This window comes from Homo sapiens, chromosome 2 (genome assembly GCF_000001405.40).
Source record: "Homo sapiens chromosome 2, GRCh38.p14 Primary Assembly".
Lineage (NCBI taxonomy): Eukaryota > Metazoa > Chordata > Mammalia > Primates > Hominidae > Homo > Homo sapiens.
The window spans coordinates 222,337,726-222,360,517 of NC_000002.12; the positions used below are offsets into that span (position 1 = coordinate 222,337,726).

A 22,792-nucleotide genomic window follows, 5' to 3' on the forward strand; every position below is an offset into this window, starting at 1 on the left:
AATTTCTGCCCAACACTCAAATATTAAAGTCACCTTTATCTTTGATTTTTCTCTGAATGCCTCTACAAACTCAAGGTACACTAGAAATTTAAGCAAGGTCAGTAAAAGAAACTGTAGGCCCAAGGAAGTTATTAGAGTTAGATTCATGCCAGATGATATTGGCCAAAGAAATCATTTTTATGAAATAGAAAACCTCAGTGACGTAAGATACTATGATGTTATAAAATGCTGTACCTGAACTCTGTCTCTTAGAGTTAAGATCCTTGCAGAATAGAAGAAAAAGAAGTAAAAAAAAAAAACAAAACTAAACTGTGATTTAGTAGAAACTGCAAATTGCCTGTGTTGAAGTTAGAGCTTAGCTCACTTAAGAGATGCAGCATGAAATTATAAATAATGTAATGTAGTTTCAGACTCACATTCATATCCAAAGGGAAATGGAGAAATGAGCCCATTATGTAGATAATGAAGACATATCTTTCTTTACTTCAGATTAAGACTATGAAGATAATCTTTAGACTGGGATGGATAAAAGTGCTATGTGGAGACAAGAGGATGCACAAAAGGATAACTACTGTTATGTCACATCATAAGGCCAAGGGAGTCACATTTTATAGTAAAATATAAGTGAACATTCAATGATACAGTATTTTATTTGTGATAATTAACAAAGTATTATACTCAAGAGCATCAAAATAAAGATAATCACAAATAGTCCAAAGGAAAGTACACATTAAAATGATACATTGGATTTTGCTTTGAATTTATATATATTTCAAGTAGTGGCTAAAGTTTTTAAATGATGTGGCAATTAGAATTGAAATTCAGAAATGCCGTATTTAAGATTTGCAAGTCAGCAACAATTCCACAGGTTGATTTCACTCTGATAAGGAAGATCATCACTTAAACTCTGCCATGTGAACACTGTAATTACTATTGGCATTGGGCTGATATGAACACTTCCTTGCAAAATGCAGAGCTTTCAATCAATTTCAAGTGTTTAAAAAATCTAAAGTGCTTAAAAGGAACTGTAAAGATGACAAATATTATCTCTTCCTTTTGCCAACTCTACAATAACTGCTAACCAGTCACAACCTGTTAACTGATTGCTAAAACTTCAGCAAAATGTTGTATTAACTATATGTCACAGGGCTTAAATGTCTTATTTCACCTAGGAGTACGAAGTAGGCTATATAGTTAAGCTTATATACTTTACTTATATACTTACTTATATACTTACAGTAAAGCTTTTATACTTTATATAATTATATAACTATAACTTATATAGTTAAGCTTATATACTTATATTACTTACATATATATAAGTATATATACCTATGTATATATACTTATATACTTCATAGCTAAGCTTATAAACTATGGATCCAGAGAAACCTATGGGAGTCCTTCCTTCACAGTGTTACTGTGAAATGATTTCTAAAACCCTCTAAGCTTAAATTTCTTCATACTCTGTAGATATTATAATGATTAAACAAAATAACAGAGTACTTAACAAGTGCCTAACCCATAAGATGTAAATTTTGTTTTCTTTTGACAACATAAATAACAGAGATAGAGATTCTAAAAGAAAATGATGTTTATTCAGGAATAAACATTGCAATGGGAATAAGCATGACATAGTAAACCATGCACATATTCCCATTGTGATCCTATTTCTGAATGAATATCATTTTCTTTTAGAGAGCTCTGTTATCTAGGTTGACAGTTTTATTAAATTTTGATGAGTGGATGGAAGTGGAGGACATTATGTTAAATGAAATAAGCCAGGCACAGAAACACAAATTTCTCTTGTATTCATTCATTTGTGGAAGCTAAAAAGTAAAACAATTGAACTCATGGAGATAGAGGATAGAATGATGGTTACCAGAGGCTGGGAAGGGTAGTGGTTAGTGGGGAGATGAAGTAGGAATGGTTAGTGGGTACAAAAATATAGTTAGATAGAATAAGTAAGATCTAGTATTTGATAGCACAACAGGATGACTACAGTAAACATTTTATTGTATATTTAAAAATGACTACAATAGTGGAATTGGAATGTTTGTAACACAAAGAAATGATACACGTTTGAGGTGAGATACCCTGTTTACCCTGATGTGATTATTACACACTTCATGCCTGTATCAAAATATCTCATGTGCCCCAAAGATACGTATATATATACCATGTACTCATAAAAATTAAAAATGAATAAGTAATATCTTTTAAAAAGTTATTTCAACATGACACAAATTTAGTAGATATAGTTTGGGAGCATAAATAGAAACCTTGTAATATTACATAGAAAATTTCCTTCATGAGGAAATAGACGGCCCAATAAATTTCTACCTATGAACATTGTTCCGCAAATAGATGAGTTCAATGGATTATTTATTTTCAATAAAAGTTCTTAAAGCAGAATAATGCTGAATTCATTTATTTATTGATTGACTCATTCATACATATATTCATTCATGAATTCAACAATCACATTCCTTCTATCTGGAATCTGAACCAAGAAACCCACAGGGAAATTCTAGTCTGTGGGAGGCACTTGAGCTGAAAGGTCATTTAGATCAAGGCTAAGATGGCTAAACTGGGCCAAGCAGGAGATGAAAAAGCAGAGGATGCTTGAGAAGAGAGAGCAAGAGTGAGAATAAGAGCCAATGAAAGCAAGAAACAGAGGCACATGGAGATGAGGTTAGCAAGGCCCTGAGAGATGGGGACAAGGCCTTGGCTTAGAAATGTTTCTGTTCCTATACCCATGCACTGTGACGACCTAAGATTCTGGAAGATTTCCCTGATGCTCTAAATTATTGCCACATCCCTCCCCATTTTACCTACTTTCGTTTGTGAGGGGGCTTCTGTGCCTTATGACTGAAAGAACCTGGTACACAGTAGATACTAAAAAATGTGTCCTTTGGACCTGATACCTTTATTGGGGTCCCTTTTGACTCAGGGTGAAATCCCTTTCTTGGATACATCCTAATAATATAAAGGTTTCTTATTCTAGTGAGTTAGAAGGATAAAAAAAAAAAGTGGAAGAGGTACTGGTAAGGAACTTGATTTTTGGTATCATTAGTTCTCCTGTCTCCTTGTTGAGTTTGCTGGTTGGCAAATGGACATGACAAAGATGGCACCAACATTCAACTAGGTACTTTACCGGCATGTCATTATTTATCTAAATAACAAGATCATTTAGAGACATGATATCTGTTTACAGTTTGGAAAATGAAGAGATGCGTAGTGATGGCTCAGTAAGATGGTATAAGACAATATTCACGTTTCCACTCTGGCTTTGTGCGTTACGTCAGTTATATGGTAGTTAAACTTTTCTACTGTGACATTTCATGGTAGATTATACTATCCTGGATTAACATAATCATACTTTTTTACTGACAATTAATATGACTTTTTTGTTAACTTTTAAGTTCAGGGGTGCATGTGCAGGTTTGTTACATAGGTAAATTTGTATCATGGGGGTTTCTTGTACAGATTATTTCATCATCCAGGTATTAAGCCTACTACCCATTAGTTATTTTTCCTGATCCTCTTCCTCCTTCCACTCTCCACCCTCTGATAGGCCCAGTGGGAATTGTTCCCCTCTATGTGTCCATGTGTTTTCATCATGTTAAATGAAATAAGCCACTTAAAAGTGAGAACATGCAGTGGTATTTGGTTTTCTGTTTCTACATTAGTTTGCTAAGGATAATGGCCTCCAGCTCCATTCATGTTACTAATATGACTTTTTAAAAAATCCTGGACACTGTAAACAGACACTGTTTTAGGCTAATGCACAGGAATGCCAGCACAGAACTGCAGGGCTTAGTTAGTTAACGGAGGCTGAAATTCCACACTGCTCATCAAGCATGATATTTAAGAGTTTCAGCAAATTATCTATGAAATTTCAGCATTGAGCTGTAGAAAATAAATATTTTATGCAATTACAAGGTGAGATTAACTATCCAGATATTATTTATTGCCTTAAAATATTTGACACTTTATTTATTCCTCAATAGTTACTATTGTTTACTAAATTTACTATTATTAAGGGATAAAATATTATATGTAATAACTATTAAAGGTCATTATTTATGCATATTACATAGAACTTTATTATCATAAAGTACTATATATAACAATTCAAATATTTGTTATCAATATAGTCAAATAAAGTTCTACTCCATTTGTAATTATATAGTGCTATGTAGTAATAACAATTATTTCAAAATATTTGGAAAGTTTAGGAAATAGAAAAAAAGGCAAAAATCCCTTTATTCCCCTTCTCTTGTTGATATTTTAGTCTATTTCCTTTTGGTCTTTTTTTAATACAGAAGTTGTGCTATTGTTGTCATTTTCTTTGGTTGTAATCAAAAGCATACAGAGTTTTGCATCCTGCTTTGTTTAGATAATGTTATAACTATAGTATTTTCCAAGTTTTTAAAATAAAATCTTCATAATTTTTATCATAGTGCAATACAGTTGACCCTTGGACAACATGGATTGGAACCGTGCAGGTCTACTAACTAATACACAGATTCTCTTCCACCTATGCCACCCTTGAGACAGCAAGACCAACCCCTCCTCTTCCTCCTCCTTTTCAGTCCACTCAATGTGAAGACAAGGAAAATGAAGAACTTTATGATGATCCATGCTATTAGTCTGTTCTCACACCGCTAATAAAGACATACCCGAGACTGGGTAATTTATAAAAGAAAGAGGTTTAATGGACTCACAGTTCTACATGGCTGCGGAAGCCCCACAATCATGATGGAAAGCAAAGGAGGAGCAAAGTCACGTCTCACATGGTAGCAGGCAAGAGAGCATGTGTGGGGGAACTTCCCTTTATAAAACCAACAGATCTCGTGAGACCTATTCACTATCACAAGAACAGCATGGGAAAACCCACCCTCATGATTCGATTACCTTCCACCAATTCCCTCCCACTATACGTGGAGATTATTACAATTCAAGGTGAGATTTGGGTGGGGACACAAAGCCAAACCATGTCAATCTATTTCCACTTAATGAAGAGTAAATATATTTTCTCTTCCTTATGATTTTCTTAATAACATTTTCTTCTCTCTAGCTTACTTTATTGTAAAAGTATAGTACATGATACATGTAACATACAAAATATATGTGAATCAACTGTTGATGTTATTGGTAAGGCTTCCAGTCAACAGCAGGCTATTAATAGTTAAGTTTTGGGGGAGTCAAAAGGTCAACTGAATTTCATTGTATGATTGTAGCACATTACATCTATCATTTTTAACTGTATATTTTTCTTTCTAAATAATTTTTAAGCTTTTTCTTTGAGTATTTTTTAGTGAGTCTTCATTAGAATGTAGGAGTATCTTCCTATTATCTATATTTTACTCCTTTAAATCTGCTTACTTGTTTTAAATAGTCACTTGCTATAAATCTTTTAAATTCATATGAGATTAAATATTTCCACTTAAGATGCAATGGAACTTACTAAAAAAGTGCTAAAAAGTAACTATACTGAGGCTGTGATCAGTCTCTGAGACCCAGTTCCTATTGCTAACAGTACTTTGGTTTTTGGAGGCTGTCCTCCTACAACTGAGAAAAGTAATCTATTACCAATATTTAAAGTATTTTCCCTATTGGTGCTTTGTTTAAACTTTCTTAGAGTTTGTAGTAACAAAAGTGACATGTTTTAACAAGTCAAACAACATAGAAACACTTAAGAAAATCTAATAATCTGCCTTCTACTCCTGATGAATCCCACTTGCCACTCCCCAAGATAACCAACTGATGTTAACATTTTCCTGCACAAGTTTCTATCTTTCTCAATGCTCATGTTAATATATATCATAAATATATGTATGTATATACATAGAATTTGGTTTTGAAAATGGGATTATATCACATACCTTGTTCTACAATGTCTTTTTCATGTAGTAATATATCATGGGCATCTCCAGAGCCCAAATGTACACCTAACATCCTTTTTAATAGTTGCATTAGGCTGGGCGCGGTGGCTCACGCCTGTAATCCCAGCACTTAGGGACGCTGAGACCAGCGGATCACCTGAGGTCAGGAGTTCGAGACCAGCCTGGCCAACATGGTGAAATCCCGTCTCTACTAAAAATACAAAAATTAGCCGGGCCTGGTGGTGCATGTCTATAATCCCAGCTACTCAGGAGGCTGAGGCAAGATAATTGCTTGAACCCAGGAGGCAGAGGTTGTAGTGAGCCGAGATGGCACCATTGCACTCCAGTCTGGGCAACAAGAGTGAGACTCTGTCTCAAAACAGAATAAAACAAACAAACAAACAAACAAAAATAGCTGCATTATAGTACATGATATTGATGTGCCATAATTTATTCAGCCATTTCTTACATGGACAGTGGGTTGTTTAGAGGTGGACTTTTTTTTTTTTTTGGCCCCTGTAGATAATGTCATAATAAAAATCATTAAGCACACAATATTACATATTGGTTTTTATTTTTATAGGATACATAATCCCAAGCAGAATCCTTAAAGCATGAGTATTCTAGTTTTTAGTAGATGTTTTCAGATTAATTTCACAAAAGACTTCAGCAATTGACATTCTCATCAGCTGTGTCTTAGATTGCTAGTTTCAGCCCACCCTCAACAACATTAGATCCTGTTGCTCTTAATAGACAATCTGAGGTTAAAAAATTATCTTGCTTTACTTGCATTTCCATGCTACAAATGGAGCTATTAATATTTTCAAGTGTTTCTTGATAATCTGAATTTTTTCTTCTATGAATTCCCCATACTTTCATTCTTTTTTTGTCTTTTTCTTAAGGCTTAGTAAGAGGAATTTGTAGTAGGAGGAAATTATACTTGGTCTGTCACATATAATGCAATTATTTTGCTCCAATCTACCATTTGCACTTCAATTTTATACACTACATCTTTCCCCACTTAATTAAAAAAAAAGTACGGAATTTTATTGTTTGGGAGTGCATTTCAGACAGAGAATAAATTATGCCGATACCATGTATTCAATTATTCATTACTTTGAATTGAAATGCCAATTTGGTTATATATCAAGCTACCATATATCCTTAGATTTGTTCCTGTTCTATTTTATTGCATTGTTCTATTAACATCTCCACTATGATATATCATGGTAGACTGTTCTATATTGGAGTAAATAAATAATTAATTAAAATTATTATGAGCCTCGCACAATGGCTCACGCCTGTAATCCTGGCACAATTGGAGGCTGAGGCTGGCAAGTCACTTGAGCTCAGGAGTTCGAGACCAGCCTGGGCAGCTTAGAAAAACCTCATCTCTACTAAAAATACAAAAATTAGCCAGGCATGGTGGCACACTTCTGGTCGCAGCTACTCAGGAGGCTGAGGTGAGAGGATCACTTGAGCCCAGGAGATGGAGGCTGCAGTGAGCCATGATTGTTACACCTTTGCACTCCAGCCTGGGCAACAGAGCCAGAGCCTGCCTCAAAAATAATAAAATAAAATTATGTTACTTTGTTGACTATAAACATACTGTTCTTAAATTCTTTCAGTATTACTTCACAGACACTAAAATATAAAATGTTTTAGGCTAACGTACAGGAATACTATCTTATCATAGTGGGTTTGTCATGAATTTTAATAGTTGGGAAAGTAAGATAGTATCTATTCCCTTACTTGTGTTTATGTTCACATGCACATATACACATCTTCCTCAAAAATTACTGGCTTTTCTCAGATATTAATCCCTTCACATAAAGTTTATATTTGTTTTGTCTATTTTAAAACATTGATATTATAACTGGGGTCACATTAAATTGTTGCATCCATTTCCACACTGGATTAGAAAATCTTTCTCTCTTAGCTCAAATTTCATTTTATATCCCTCAATAAAAATCATAGTTTTCTAAATAAATGGCCTTTGCCCATCTTGGGTTGTGGTTTTTTTTGTTTGTGTGTTTGCTTTTGGTTTGGCAAATATGAATGGAATTTTTTTTCCATTTCTACTTCTAACATATTACTGCTATTATAAAATAAGATTATTGTGAGTATTTTTGTACATATATCTTGTGCCTAATTACATTATCAATTTCTCTTATTATTTTTTAAAGAAGTTTATTATCTTCTTAGTTTTTCTAAATATACAATAATTTAAAAAAGAAAACATAGTAATATAGTCATTTTTGTCTCTACTTTTTCAATATTTATAATGACTCTTTCCTTCTCTCATTGTTTCAGTTAAAACTGGATATTATAATTGTGGGCATACTTTTTTTTTTTTTTTTTTGAGACAGAGTCTTGACTTATTACCCAGGCTGGAGTGCAGTGGCATGATCTCAGCTCACTGCAACCTCCATCTCCGGGGTTCAAGTGATTCTCCCGCCTCGGCCTCCCAAGTAGCTGGGGTTACAGGTGTGGACCACCACGCCGGGCTAAGTTTTGTATTTTTAGTAGAGCTGGGGTTTCACCATGTTGGCCATGCTGGTCTCAAATTCCTGAACTCAGATGATCTGCCCAGCTCGGCCTCCCAAAGCGGTGGGGTTACAGGTGTGAGCCACTGCGCCCAGCCGTGGGAGTACTTCTTGATCTTAATTTTAAAGGAAATGACTTCAAGATGTTATTTTCTAGTATAGTAACATCTTGATTATTGATTGTTATGATTGTCACAGGATTTTTATGAGTGGTCTTTAGCATATTAATATATTTCTTTTTATCCCATGCTTTTTGTTGAAAATGACTGAATATTGATATAATAATATGATCTTTTATCATTTACTGTGTTGTTTAATAAACTAATTTGATAGATATCTTAAAGTTGAATGATATTTATGAATAAGAAACTTTAAACTTTTAGAAATCATAATTTTAATTGCAATAAACATTTTAATATAGCTTTTTAAATATTTAGGATTATTCCTTTTGTATTTATTTAAAAAACATTTGTGAGGGACTTTGTAACTTTTTAGAAATCTTACTTAGTTTATAAAATCTTATAGAAGGTAAAATACAGGAGTGACCTTACAGTGTAGCATATATAATAAATTATTTGGACAGATTTTGGTTCTCTCTTCTATTTGTGTTCTATATCTAATAGAAAAAAAAATCACATTACACTTTCTACTTGAGAAATGCTTGAATTGTACTTAGGCCAATGTCATAAAGATTATTAATTTGTTTCAAAATCTACATTGAAACTTGTAGATTCAGAGATAAAGTGTATTCTGAAGGGGAAATACCCTCTCTACCCTCATTTTTCTTTTTTAAATCAGAGACAGGGTCTCTCTTTGTTTCCCAGGCTGAATTGCAGTAGTTATTCACAGATGTGATTGATCATAGAGTACTGCAGCCTCAAACTTTCAGGCTCAAGCGATTCTCCTGCCTCAGCCTCCCGTGGAGCTGGGATTACAGGAGGAGCCACTGAGCCTGGCTGAAATTTCCCATTTTAATGAAATATATGGTAAAGAGGAATAGATTGTAGTTACCATAATATTATGATATTATGCAAATGAAGTTGAGTGAGAGAATTACTGCTTCTATTTGAAAATGAAACAAAACAGAATTATATTTGATGACAGTTTTGAATTTTTACAGTTCATTATAGTTTTCAGGATACTTTGTTAATTAACAGATATTTAATACAGTTCAAGAAATTTGCACCTTTATATCTCATTCATCTCTGTTTATATATTATGGATCAAATATAAAGGGAAAGCAGATGCAACATTTTATGTGATAATACAGCACCAATGATATAACTAATGGTCCTACCTTCTATTTGTACTTTACTGTTTCTGTTTCTAGTCATGGATTAACCCTGTAATGGTTGAAATATTTTCAGTAGCAGACTTATTTTTCAATGCTAACAGGAAAAATAAGTCTAGGAAATTATGTTCAAATTATAGCACACAGTCTAAGAGATTATTCGCCTCAAATAAAAAAATGTGATGATGTCCCTTAGCTTCTCTCCTACAGTTTCTTATACACGGGTCAGATTCAAAGCTTCTGTGTTAAGTAAACCCAGAGAAGCCTACCAGCTGAGTAAGGCCAGGGAACATAAAAAAAGTGGCAAAAGCATTGGTTAAGAAAGATAAATTTGTAAAAATTGGGCAATATCTGATTTATTTTACTTCTTGAGCTAGACTGCAAGAATGAGCTTAGGCAGAGATAATGGAGGAGACGGTCATTTGGTGAGGTGTTAGGGCACTAGAAAGAGCTGGATGCTTTATAAATCCTGCTCCAGCTACTGACGGATGCTTGAAATTCCACTGTTTGAGTTTCTTTCTTTTTTTCTTTTTTGCAGTTTCTTACATTTTTAGGATATAGTACCACTTTGAGAAGCCAAAGGAAGCAATGGTAGGCATCCCAGGAAAAAACACACAGACATCAACTCAGAATGCTTTTGTATCATTTGGAATAAAGAACACACATTTTTCTACTTGTACAGAATATAAAAATAATATTTTATGCTTATGCTTCACTCGCATTTTTTCAGGCAGAAATTCATGCTCGTTCTTGGAAAATACGCAAAATTGTTGCAAAGATACGCAAAAACATACAAAATTTTCCAAACAAACAAGTAAAACAAAAGGTACATTTTAATCTGCTCAAAAGTTAATCTAACAGCAAAGGTGCTGTTGTTTAGCTTGAATGAGAGGATGAAACTGTAGCATGCTATCTGATGAAATGCCAATGTCATCTTTGTCAGTGGATTTCATCTCTCCTTTTGACTGATAAGTGATGAAAAACTGTTGTTCACATAGTTCATAAACGTAATAATGGAATCAGAGCTCCCATAGTACATTTTTTGAGACAAGGGCAGGCCTGAGTCAAGCAACATCAGATTTCTTCAAGACTCTGCTTAGGTTAAACCATGTAGCATCAATTCTTTTGTGAGGTCATTATTGGCGGAATCTGCACATTTGATGTCAGCAAGTTAAGGATCATAAACACAGGTTTAATTTCAAGATCACTGGAGCAGAAATAAGCATCAAAAGGATTCTGCAAGGTTCCAGGTGCCCACAGATTTTTGCCTGCAGAAAACTGGAAAAAAAAATATTACTCTCTACTTCAGCCTAAAGAAACATTTTTTCCTAGCATTGAAAACTAACAGGAGTGCCTGCTCCCACCTCCTTTTCCAGAGCAGCAGTTTGGACAGAAGAGCTCATAGTGGCTCTGCAGCTTTCCTAATAGCATGTAAGCCTTTGAATGGAAAAAATTACTTCACTAGTTTCATCAAAAGTATCCACAAAATAAGTCAAGCCGTAAATAAACTCATCCATGTCCAATTGTCCTAAGTAAATGTTCCTTTACTTTCAACATTCCCTTCCCCTGTCCCTATTTTCTTTTTTGCCTGAAGGTCATTCAAATGCTCAAGGCTTATCTTGTAGAAAGCCAGCAAATTCCCGTCTATAGAAAACATACTTTAGGCTGGGCACGGTAGTTCATGCCTGTAATCCCAGCACTCTGGGAGGCCAAGGTGGGTGGATCATTTGAGGTCAGGAGTTCGAGACTGGCATGGTCAGTATGGTGAAACCCCGCCTCTGCTAAAAATACAAAAATTAGCTGGACGTGGTGGTGGGCGTCTGTAATCCCAGCTACTTGGGAGGCTGAGTCAGGAGAATCGCTTGAGCCTGGGAGGTAGAGGTTGCAGTGAGCTGAGATTGTACCACTGCACTCCAGCCTGGGTGACAGAGTGAGACTCTCAAAAAAAAAAAAAAAAAGAAAAAGAAAGAAAATAGAAAGACAAGAAAGAAAACATACTTTATTTTCTACTGCATTTCTTGTTTTTTTTTTTTTTAAATCTTGAAAAAAGTGATGATTTGAGGTCCTGAGTCTGATGAAGTTGCTGTGTTTCATGGAAATGGACAAGATTTATTGCAGGAAGTTTGGCGCGGGTTTTTGTTGTTGTTGTTTTGTTTCTGTTTTTTTTTTTTTTTGTTTTTTGTTTTGCCATCAATGTTTGCTTAGATAGAAAGCCACAAAATACACACGTCTTTTCCAAAGCTGCAAGTATTGATGTGCTGTCATGCATCACAGGGCCCCCATCTCTACAGCAGTATTAAGATTGTTCTTTTAGTGGAAGTCTTACTTTGCAAATTCCATTCTAACATTTTCGATGGTCTTTGTATGCCCAAAATGATAAAACAGGGATTCTTTGATGGTGTTAATGCAGCACAAGGAAGGAAAACCAAGATGTGATTTCTTTGGTAGACCGTACTATGGGCAGAACCGACAATCCCTCTGTAATCTTTTTCAAAATATTGGAAGAAATGGCAGTAATTCTGGAGTTGACAGTATTCTTTCAGTAACGAACCACTTCAGTTTTCTTCCTCTGCTTCAAGCCACAAGCCAGCTTGACTATTTCCAGGGTATATGGCTTCAGAAGATCTCTGCAATTGTATGTGGGCGATTTTCTTTTCATTCAGGCATGTGGTAAACAAGCTTGAAGAAAGGAGATTTTGTGCTGGAGCAAATACCAATTTTGATAGAGTTTTGGTCCCTATTGAATTACCATCAATTTTCTTCAAAATGTTATTGTTTTGTTTTTAAAGTAAAATCCAATAAAGTTTAACGCATGACATTTGTTATCCCTAATCAATTCCCCACCCCCACCCTCAACCAATCATTGACTTCTTGAAAAGACTAAGCAAATTGTCTTGTAGGATATTCCACATTCTGGATTTGTCTAGTGGTTTCAGTTAGATCTTGTTTAAATTCTTCTATCCTGAGTATTTTCCATGAATTTGAACTTAGGTGTTAAGATTTCAAGAGGCATTTAATGTCAGTTTGTCCCACTATTAGTGATATTTAATTTGATCAGTTGGTTATCATGGTGGCAGCCAGATTTCCCTTTTGCATAGATTCATTTTTTTCTCTTTTCAATTAACAATTAATCTGAGGAGTACTTTAATCAATCTGTTGGGTAGAATAATACTTTGGTAGCATGCAAACATCCCATTAGCTTTTCTTAAATAATTTTATTGACATATAATTGCCATATAGTAAACTGTACACATTTAAAGTGGACAGTTTAGTAAGCTTTGAAATATGAATGTATCTGTAAAATCACCAATACAATAAAGATAATGATAAAGATAATCCCCCTAAAATGTTTCCTCTTGCCCTTTCCCCGCTTCCCATCCCAAGGAAACCACACCTCTGGTTTTTGCCAGTATAAATTAGTTTGCATTTTCTATAATTTTTTATCAATGGAATCCATACAGCATGTATTCTTTTTTTGGTCTGGCTTCTTTCACTCAGTATAAATATTCTGAGATACATCTGTGTTGCTGTGTATATCAATAGCTTGTTTTTTTTTATTGCTGAATAATTTCCATTGTACAAATATACCATTTATGTATCCATTCACATGTTGAAAAAATTATTCTTTCTCAACTCTACTACTTTTGAATCTATGTTGAAAATTAATTGACCTTGTATGTGTGGGTCCCTTTCTGAATTCTCATGCTGTTGTATTGATCTATTTATCTATCTCATAGCAATATCATAGCCTTGATTACTGCAGCCTTATAAAAAGTGCTGACGTTAGTGTAAGTCTTCCAACTTTGTTCTTTTTCAAAGTTGTTTTTGCTACTCTAGGTCATTTGCTTTTTTATGTGAATTTTGGAATCAACTTGTTTTTTTTAATAATAAAACCTGCTGGGATTTTAACTGAGATAACATTAAATCTATATATCAATTGGAGAGAATTTACATTTTAACAATATCATGTCTCCTAATCTGTGAACACAACAGAAACTTTAGGTATTCTTTAATTTCTCTCAGCAATATTTTTTAGTTTTCAGTATACAAGTCTTGCACATTTTTGTCATATGTATCCCTAAGTATTTAATATTTTTGATGTTATTATAAATGGCATTGCTTTAAGTTTATTGTTTCTAGTATATAAGAAAGTCAGCTGACTTCTTTATAGTGAACTGGCATCTGACCACCTTGCTTAACTCACTTATTAGTTCTCATTGCTTTTCTGTAGATTCTTTAGATTCTCTATGCAAATGATCATACTATCTCAGAATAATGACAGTTTTATGTCTTTCTTTCTGATCCGAATAGCTTTTATTTCTCTTTCTTGCCTTATTGCACTGGCTACTATTTCCAGTACAATATTGAATAGAAGCAGTAAAAGCTTGTTCCTGGGTAGGGGAGGCATTCATTCTTTTACCATTAAATATAGTGCCAGCTACAGGTTCAGAGCTGCCCTTTATCAGGTTAAGCAGTTCCTCCTGGTTTTCTGTTTTTTCTCTTAAAAATACTGATAGATTTTCAAATGCCAAGCCAATTTTGCATTCCTGGGATAAACCCCACTTGGCCATGATTTTTATATACTTCTCAGTTCAATTTACCAAACTTTTGTTTAGAATTTTTGGCATATATGCTTATAAAGGTTATTGGTCCATAATTTTCTTTTCTTTTTAATAAAAGCTTTATCTGATTCTGTTATCAGAGTAATACTGGCTTCATAGAATGTGTTGGAAAGTATTCCCTCCTACAATTTTGTGGAAGACTGTTTAAAATTCATGTTATTTCACCAGTGAAGATATCTGGGGCCAGAATTTTCTTCATAGGAAGTTTTTTTGGATTTTTTTAAACTGCAAATTAAATTTTTTCTAATCTTTTCAGGTGATTCTTTTCCTGATCTCAGGTAGTTTCCTCACATACATGTGCTTATCAATACTGAGCTGAATATTTGAGGGAGATTTCCTTTGTATTTCCAGATTTTTTAAAAAATGCCGCTCACTTCCTGTCTGCCCTGTGAACTCTGGGCATCTTGGCTTCCCTGGATTGCCAGCTCAATACTGTCAACCCAGGGATACCACTGAGCTCTGCCTGGATTCCCCTTCACTGTACTGCAACCTGAAAACTAACTCCAAGCAATAAGCTGGTACACTCAGAGGGCTACCTCATTTGTTTTCCACTTCTCAGAGATTGCTGTCCTTTGTCATCTCATATCCAATGCTGAATGTCATCGTTACATATTTTGTCTAGAGTTTTGGTTGTGTCAGGTGGAAGGATATATCTTATCCCTGTTACTTCACCTTTAACAAAAACAGAAGTCTCATTAGCTTTTTACCTAAAGTTGCTAATCTCTATTAATTACTGCTGCTTTCATCAATTATGTCATTGAGGTTTGGGGATTTTAAAAAATATTTATTTTAAGAAAGTTAGGTAGCATCTATCTGTAAAGAAGAGCTTTTCTCCATTAACTGGAGATGAGTTTTATTCCTTCTACCGGGGCAAATTTATGTCTAACTCTTTTTCTCTTTTCAGAATAAGGAGTTGTAATCGTTGCCTCCAGTAGTGGTAAATGAATTTCTTTTTTTCTGTTTTTTGTTCTGTTCTTTTAGTTTTGAGTGTTAGTATGAACCGGGGTTTTTGTTTATTTTATTACAATCACTTTATAGTCATTATTCCTTCAGATGTTCAAATTGTAGCCAATGGGAGTGTCTTCATTCTGGCTTTTGAGTCATTTCGAAACATCCCATTAGACTTTGAGTATCCTTGCTTTAGGGCAAACAGCTCTCTTAGGCTCATCATGTACCTTTTGTGCTCCAGACCTCAAACTGTTCATTCTTCAAGAAGCGCTAGTTCCCTTTAGTAGAAAATATTATTTAGAAATCATAGTCTTGGGATTCCTGGAGTTCTTATGGTATTGTCAATGGGGAAAATTATTTTAGATGTCACAGCCTGGCAACTACAATAATTATACTTCATCCTATTATGCATAATAGCATATCTCATGCCAGAAAACACTTTTCAAAAAAATTTGAAGTGAAATGATACTTTAATAGCATTATTAGACTTTTTTATAATACATTTTAAAAGATATTTTAAAAAGATTTTTGGAGATAATTTAAAGAACACTTTACAGGCTCTCCATTGACCACCAAGAAGTGCATGGACTTGTTGTGGTTAGAGCAGTTATTCTCACCTAGCTTCACACTCTCACCTGGGAAACTTAAATACTGATACCAAGGTCCTACCTCAGAAAAAATTATCAGAATTTTTAAAAATATATCCCAGAATCATTGTTTTTCATTTTTATTTTGTTTTGCTCACATCTTCTAGTTGATTCTAACGTGTTGCTAGTGTTGAAAACCACTCTGAGTCTTGATAGCATTAAAAAATGCAAGCACCATTGTAAATAGTAATACTTGGATATGTGATCATTTCTTTTTCCACCTCATTGATGCTAGGGAGAAGAGAAAGAGCCGGGTCACTTGGATGTGTGGACAGTTGCTGAGAAGAGCAGAAGAAAAGAAAAAAGACAGGCAACATACACAAAATGAACCGCTTTTTTGCTTGAATCAAATCCTATTGATTAATCCCTTTACATTGTTTACTAAAAATGCAATACAACTTTGTCAGGAAATATTTGTTTGAGTTGTTGGCAGACTGACAGAATTAATGCACTGTTTGGATAATTCCACCATCGATGTCCCTTATTCATGTCACTGTATTTCAAAGTTGGCCAGCTGCCACTGCTGCTGTTTTGAAATAACTTGGAGCTGAAACTCAAGACAATGGCCACACTGTCCTTTTATTCTGTTGCACGAAATAATTTTCCAAAATAATCATGTCACTAAGTCTCTCTCTAGATCTAATGGCCTATAATTTGAAACAAGGGAACTGCTGATATGGTGAGAAATGGTTTTGTCATTTAATTTGTCAAGCTTCCAACTACTCATTTATTCTCTAAGCAAGGTTGCAGCCAAATCTATATTTCAAAATTCACTTATAATTGATTGAAAATATTGTTTCTTAAGAGCTGCTTGACTAAAGAAGGTGTCCTAGAAGGCCTCGTCCTCTGTCTTCGTCTGTTCAGGCTGCTATAACAAAATACCATAGACTGGTGGTTTATAAGCAACAGAAATCTATTTCTTGCAGCACTGCAGGCTGGAAGTCCAAGGTCAAGGCGCTGGCTGATTCAGTGTTTGGTAAGAATCCACCTCCTGGTTCATAGTCAGTGCCTTCTCACTGTGTCCTCACTAGGTGGAAGAATAATACTCTGATCTCTTCAGTTCCATCAAAGGGCACTAATCCCATTTGTGAAAGTTCCACCCTCATGGCCTAATCACCTTCCAGAAACTCCATCTCCTAATGCCACCACACTGAGAATTAAGTTTTAGCATATGAATTTTGTGGGGACACAACATTTAGTCCATAGCATCCTCCCATTTTTTAATATGTAAAAATTCAAACATGCACAAAGTTTGAAAAAAATAACACAATGAATACCTGCACAGCCTCACCTAGACTCAACAATGAACAGCATTTTCACATGTGTATTAGTCAGCTTGAGCTGCTAGAACAAAGTGCCAGAAACTTGATGGCTTATACAACAGAAATTTACTTTCTGACAGTTCTGGAGGCTGAAAGTCTGAGATCAAGGTGTTGGCAGGGTTGGTTCTGAAGCTTCTCTCCTTGGCTTGTAGCTGGCCGTCCTCCCCCTCTGTCTTCACAGTATCCTGTCTCTGCGTGGCTGTCTGTGTTTTCTCTTCTCTTCTTATAAGACATCAGTCATATTGGAGTAGGGCCCACCCTAACCACCTCATTTTAATTTAATCACCTCTTTAAAGAGCCACTCCAAATATAGTCACATTCTGAGGTACTGGGGGTTAGTATTTTAACATACAAATTTAGGGGGTGGACACAATTCAACCCATAACATTATATTTGCTTTATCTCTTTCTTTCTATAATATATAGGCATATTGATTTGATAATCCATTAGAAGACATATTATAGACATTATGACATCTCACTCCTAAACATGTCACTTTGCATCATTTAAGAATAAGGATGATCTCCTACATAACCTTAATGCCATTATCACATCGAAGAAAATTTAAATTTGTATTAATCCATATTCAGTTGTCCAAATGTTTTTTTATGGCAGTTTTTATTTTCCTGCATAATTACCCAATAAAGTTCATACATTGGCTTTGGGTGTTATTTCTTTTTAGTCATTTTAAATTTAGAAGAGTCTCCCCATCCCTATAGCTCATCTTTTTTTTTCTATGACATTGACTTTTTGAAAACCCCAGATGAGGTATCTATAGAATGTTGCACATTTTGAATTCGCCTAATTATTTCTTTATGATAACATGTAACATTTTCTTCTCTACACTGTGTTTATATAAACCAGAAGTTAGATGTGGTTAGACTGCAAAACTGACAGTATTTTTCCTATTAAGTGGTGCAGTCTGTTTCTCCCCTAGACTCTGGGCCTGGCCATATGGCTTGGTTTGGCCAATGGGATAGTAGCAAATGTGGCACAGCAGAGGCTTGCTACATGCTTGTGTGCTGGGTTTGCTCATCTTTGCTGCTCTTGGGAGTCCTGTGGCTCTCAAGTCTGCTGCTTAATGAGAAACATGTGGCCAAGTCATCCCCATCTCCTCAAATGACATCAGGAATGAAGCCATTCTCAACCAGATGGCTCCAACCAGAGAATCATTTATCTGACCCACAGAACAGTATAAAAGAATACATTGTTGCTGTTCTAAGCCACCAAGTTCCCAGATGATCAGTTTTGCAACAAGAGCAATTGATGCACATCTAGAGGCTTGATTAAATGTTTCAGCAGGAATACTTCATAGATGATCTGTGTGCTTCTAGCACATCAGAAGGCTCATAATGTTAAAAGGAGGTTTACTTTTGAACCTGGGTAAATGTGGATTAAGGGAAACAAACATCAACATAGTCATTCCTCAAGTTAGCATCTCTCCTGGGTTTTAGTACTATCTGGTCATCTTTTAGCCATCAGGGCTTGTAGGGCACTAATAGGGACAAGTAGCGATGTTCCTCCCTGATGTTCAGAATGACCTATGCCCAAAGATAGCCGCAGCATTTGTCAAGAGGAGGACATTATTTCACCAGGTTATAGCCACATATAATATTATTCCAAAGTCATGCTGATTAATATATTTCTAAGGACTTTGTTCAACCCAGTTTTGGGGGTGTGCCTATTCCTTTTTTATTTGACACAATCAAGCTGATACCTTAAGATGACCAAATCAAAAAAAAAAAAAGATGACCGAATCAATAACTATTGCATTCTTGAGCATTTAAAATAAGTAGTTAGCCATTTAATACAAGAATAAAACAAGAGTTTTCTCTCAGTACCAGCAGAAAGGTGAAGAAATTACGAAATTGTGGCATTGTTTTGATCAGAAGATGAAATCAAATTTTAAAAGCTAAAGAAATGCAAGAGAAGAAGAAAAAAAGCATTTGTGTTGATCATCTACAATGCCCAGGCCCTCGTGGGAAATCTTCCCATTTGCTATGGCAGGAAGGCAACACTACTCAAATAATCCAACATTTGAGGTTCTTATCAAACTCCAACTATTTATTTGTCATTGAACAGAACCCACTCTGGAATAAAAAAAAAATGGAAACAAATAGCTGAACCCAAATCTATTTATTTAAAACAAGCATATGTAATAACAATAAAAAGAGACTAGAAGGAAACATAATTATTCTTTCAGGTGATCTTTTTTGTTTGTCCTCAACTTATCTACAGGTAATTTCATGTGATTTTTGTGTTCTCTTTGCTCTTTGTTGTGTTTTTTTTAGTTTTTAAAATACTGAGTATATGCTACTTTTATAATTAGGAACAAAATTGTAAATGAAGTTAATAAGACATTTAGAAGTTGAAAAAAGAAAGTATGGTATCCTTATAAACTTCTTCTCTGTAATATTTTAAAATAAGATTGAATTTTATATTGTATTATATAATTTCTTTAAAATGTGCAAAAGCAGAGAATATCACCAACCCTCATGAATTCATCATAGGGCTTCAGCAATTGTCACCAATTTGCCACACTAATCTCCCCTAGGCTTTCTCTCTCTTTCTTTTTTTTTAGTTCTTAAAGCAAACTCCAGACATCACATTATTTTAGCCCTAAAGCACACATTTTGTTATGGTTTAAATGTTTTGAAAACTGAATCCCCAATGAAACAGTGTTGGGAGGTAGGGCCTAATAAGAGGTGTAATCACCTAATGGTCATGAGGGATTCGTGCCATTACTGGGAAAGAAAGTTCCTTATAAAAGGATGAGTGCAACCTGCTTTTGCCTTTCTCTTTCACCTTCTCTTTGCCCTTGTGCAACGGGATGACGAAGAAAGAAGGCCCTCACTGGATGTTGCTCCCTTCATCTTGAGTTCTCTAGTCTCTGGAACCATGAATCAATAAATTTCTGTATATTATAAGTTACGCAGCCCATGGTATTCTTTTATAGCAGTACAAAACAGAGTAAGACAAATCTCTAAAGAAGGATGATATTTCTTAAACAATCATAATGCATTACCACACATAATAAAGCTAACAAAAATTCCTAATTCTATCTAATACTCAGGCCATAATCAAATTTCCCCTCTATGCTAAAAAAATTTTGAAAAATTGGCTTGTACATATCAAGATCCAGACAGGTCCACTCATTGTATTCAGCTGTTAATAATCTTATCTCTGTCTTAACCCTCAATTTGGAACATTCTCTCAATTCCATTTATTTATTTCTGGGCCACTGACTTCTTGATGAAACCTAGCCAAATGTCCCGTAGAATGGCTCACATTGTGGATTTGGCTGAATACATATTTTTAAAAAGAAAAAAAAAAGGGTTTTAGTTGTGATTCCATAATATTGGCCTGCCTAAAAGTATCCAAAATATGAAACCCCTGTCAATGAAAGGAATGAGCAAAAGACCATAATGGAGTTATTTTAAAAGATATTGGTTTAATGAGCAGCAGACTAATTAGATATAATAAATTGCATTCCCTTTTCTGAATAAGTGTTATTTGGAATGAAAAAGAAAGTTTATGGAGTATCTGCCTTTTTGAAAAATATTTGAAATAGTGCTCCTAAGGAATGTAACTAAGGTAAGAATACTCTCAGTTGTGTACCTTGTAAGGGAACGCCATTGTATGAATTTAAAAACAATAGGAAAGTCAGCAAAGAATAAAAGCAGTCTTTGAAATTTGAGAATATGGATATTTTGACTCTATTCCCATTTACTTAATATGGTTGGATTGCCAGAAAACAATGTAAGATGCCCAGATAAATTTAAACTTCATATAAGCAACAAATAAGTGTTCTTAGCACAAGTATATCTCATGCAATATTTGGGATATACTTATACTAAAAACTATTCATTATTTGTCTGAAATTCAAACTTAACTGGGCATCTTTTATGTTAATTTGCTAAATCTGGCAACCCATGGACAAAATCTCTACTATAGTAAGGTGCGGGTGATCTGAGGAGGAGATATGGTGCTGGGGAAGGAGTGCTGCATGAAGACACTGTCAACCTCCTGACCCTGCTTGTGCAATGTGGGAACAGCCACCCATCTGTGGCATTCTCCAGCTGGTTGCTCAGGAAGTCTGGTTTCCTATTTCTACACATCAACTCCCCCAGGCTGAGAGTCTGTGGGGACCCTGCCAAACCTGAGTGGAATATGAGAATATGCCTGCCCTGCCCTTTCTCTTTGGGAAACAGGAGTCATAAAGGCCAGAATCCCAAGAGATTCTGGAAAGAAAATGAGGAAATTGCCATTGCAATTTCCTCAAAGCCCTCTCTGTAAATACCAGGGTATCATAAGACTGAAGATAACACAAAGGAAAGACAAAGACAGAGGAGAAAATAAAAGAGGGGAAGGAAAATTGCGTCCAAAGATTTTGCCTAAAAAGTCTTCTCAGTAGTCTATGTAACTTAACTCTGACCTTCCTAGCAACCAAAGCGAAGAAGAAAATCCACTGGGTTACAGAAATTCTGTGAGTAGGCTAGCGAAAGAAAGCCTCTTCATTCACATAGAAGCAAATGGTTTTACCGACCCTTGGTTCTAAAGGAAATTTTTACTGGGGCTCATACATATTAAGGATGTATAAGAATTGTTTAGCAGCAACTATTTCTTTTAAGCAAAACCAAAACTTTCTTGTGTAGAAATTTCAAAAACTCCACTGCCTATAGGCATTCGAATCTTTTGATGACAGTTTGATATAGTTTATACCCTGTATGTTCTTAAATATGCAAAGATTTTGCATGTAGATTCTCCCAAACATGGGTAAAATTCCAAGGTAAAATGACTTCATGGCCATCTACATTTCATGCCCCCACTCTAGGCTTTTCTGTTTCTTTGACACCCCTTTCCCCTTTATTAAGGCATACGTCAGTTTTGCCCTTAGTTTCTTGTTTGACGACATGATTTGGATGTGGATTTCCATGTTTTTAATTTGGCAACCTTGGACTCTACTTCCACTGCCCCTCCTCCCCACATATGAGTAGCACAAGAAAGTGGCCCTTTTCTCCAGCTTGCCTGTTGCTATGCCCTAGTTGTACCTGAGTAAGGGTGACAGGTTGCTTGCGTTAAAAGCCCCAACTTTTCATACCTCCCTGTATCTATGCCCTTTGGCAGTGCCCTCCCACACTACTCCTAGGCTTGGCCATGGTCTTGTTTTGGCCAATGAGAAAAGAGCAAATTTGACAAATCAAACTTGAAAAACGTGTGCATATTTCCGTTTGCTCTCTTGCACAGCTGGGTCCCCTTTCTTGGACTTGTGTCATCACCTCGAGGACAGACCTGAGCTAGCCTGCTGGAGGAATATGCATGACCTGTGCAGACAGACTGAGTCATCAGCTAAGGCCATCCTAGATCAGCCAGCTCCCTGGCCAACCAGCTAGCTGACCACAGACACGCAAGCAAACCCAGCCCAGGTCAGCAGAACCACTAAACTGATTTGTAGCCCCAAGAAAAGTAATAAATGGCTGTTGCCTTAAGATGTTATGTTTTGGGAGAGTTTGTTACACAAGCCA

The 22,792-nt window shown here is 35.3% G+C and overlaps 1 long non-coding RNA gene across 1 annotated transcript in view; it reads left to right on the top strand.

The window, feature by feature from the left end:
- The window catches only part of CT75 (cancer/testis associated transcript 75), a 39,440-nt gene extending 19,255 nt beyond the window's left edge, over positions 1-20,185 (top strand). The window contains exons 2-4 of the long non-coding RNA NR_136642.1: positions 4,467-4,968; positions 15,255-15,287; positions 16,181-20,185. This is a non-coding gene — a long non-coding RNA (cancer/testis associated transcript 75). The remainder of the gene's footprint in view (positions 1-4,466; positions 4,969-15,254; positions 15,288-16,180) is intronic.
- Positions 20,186-22,792: the final 2,607 nt, after the last annotated feature.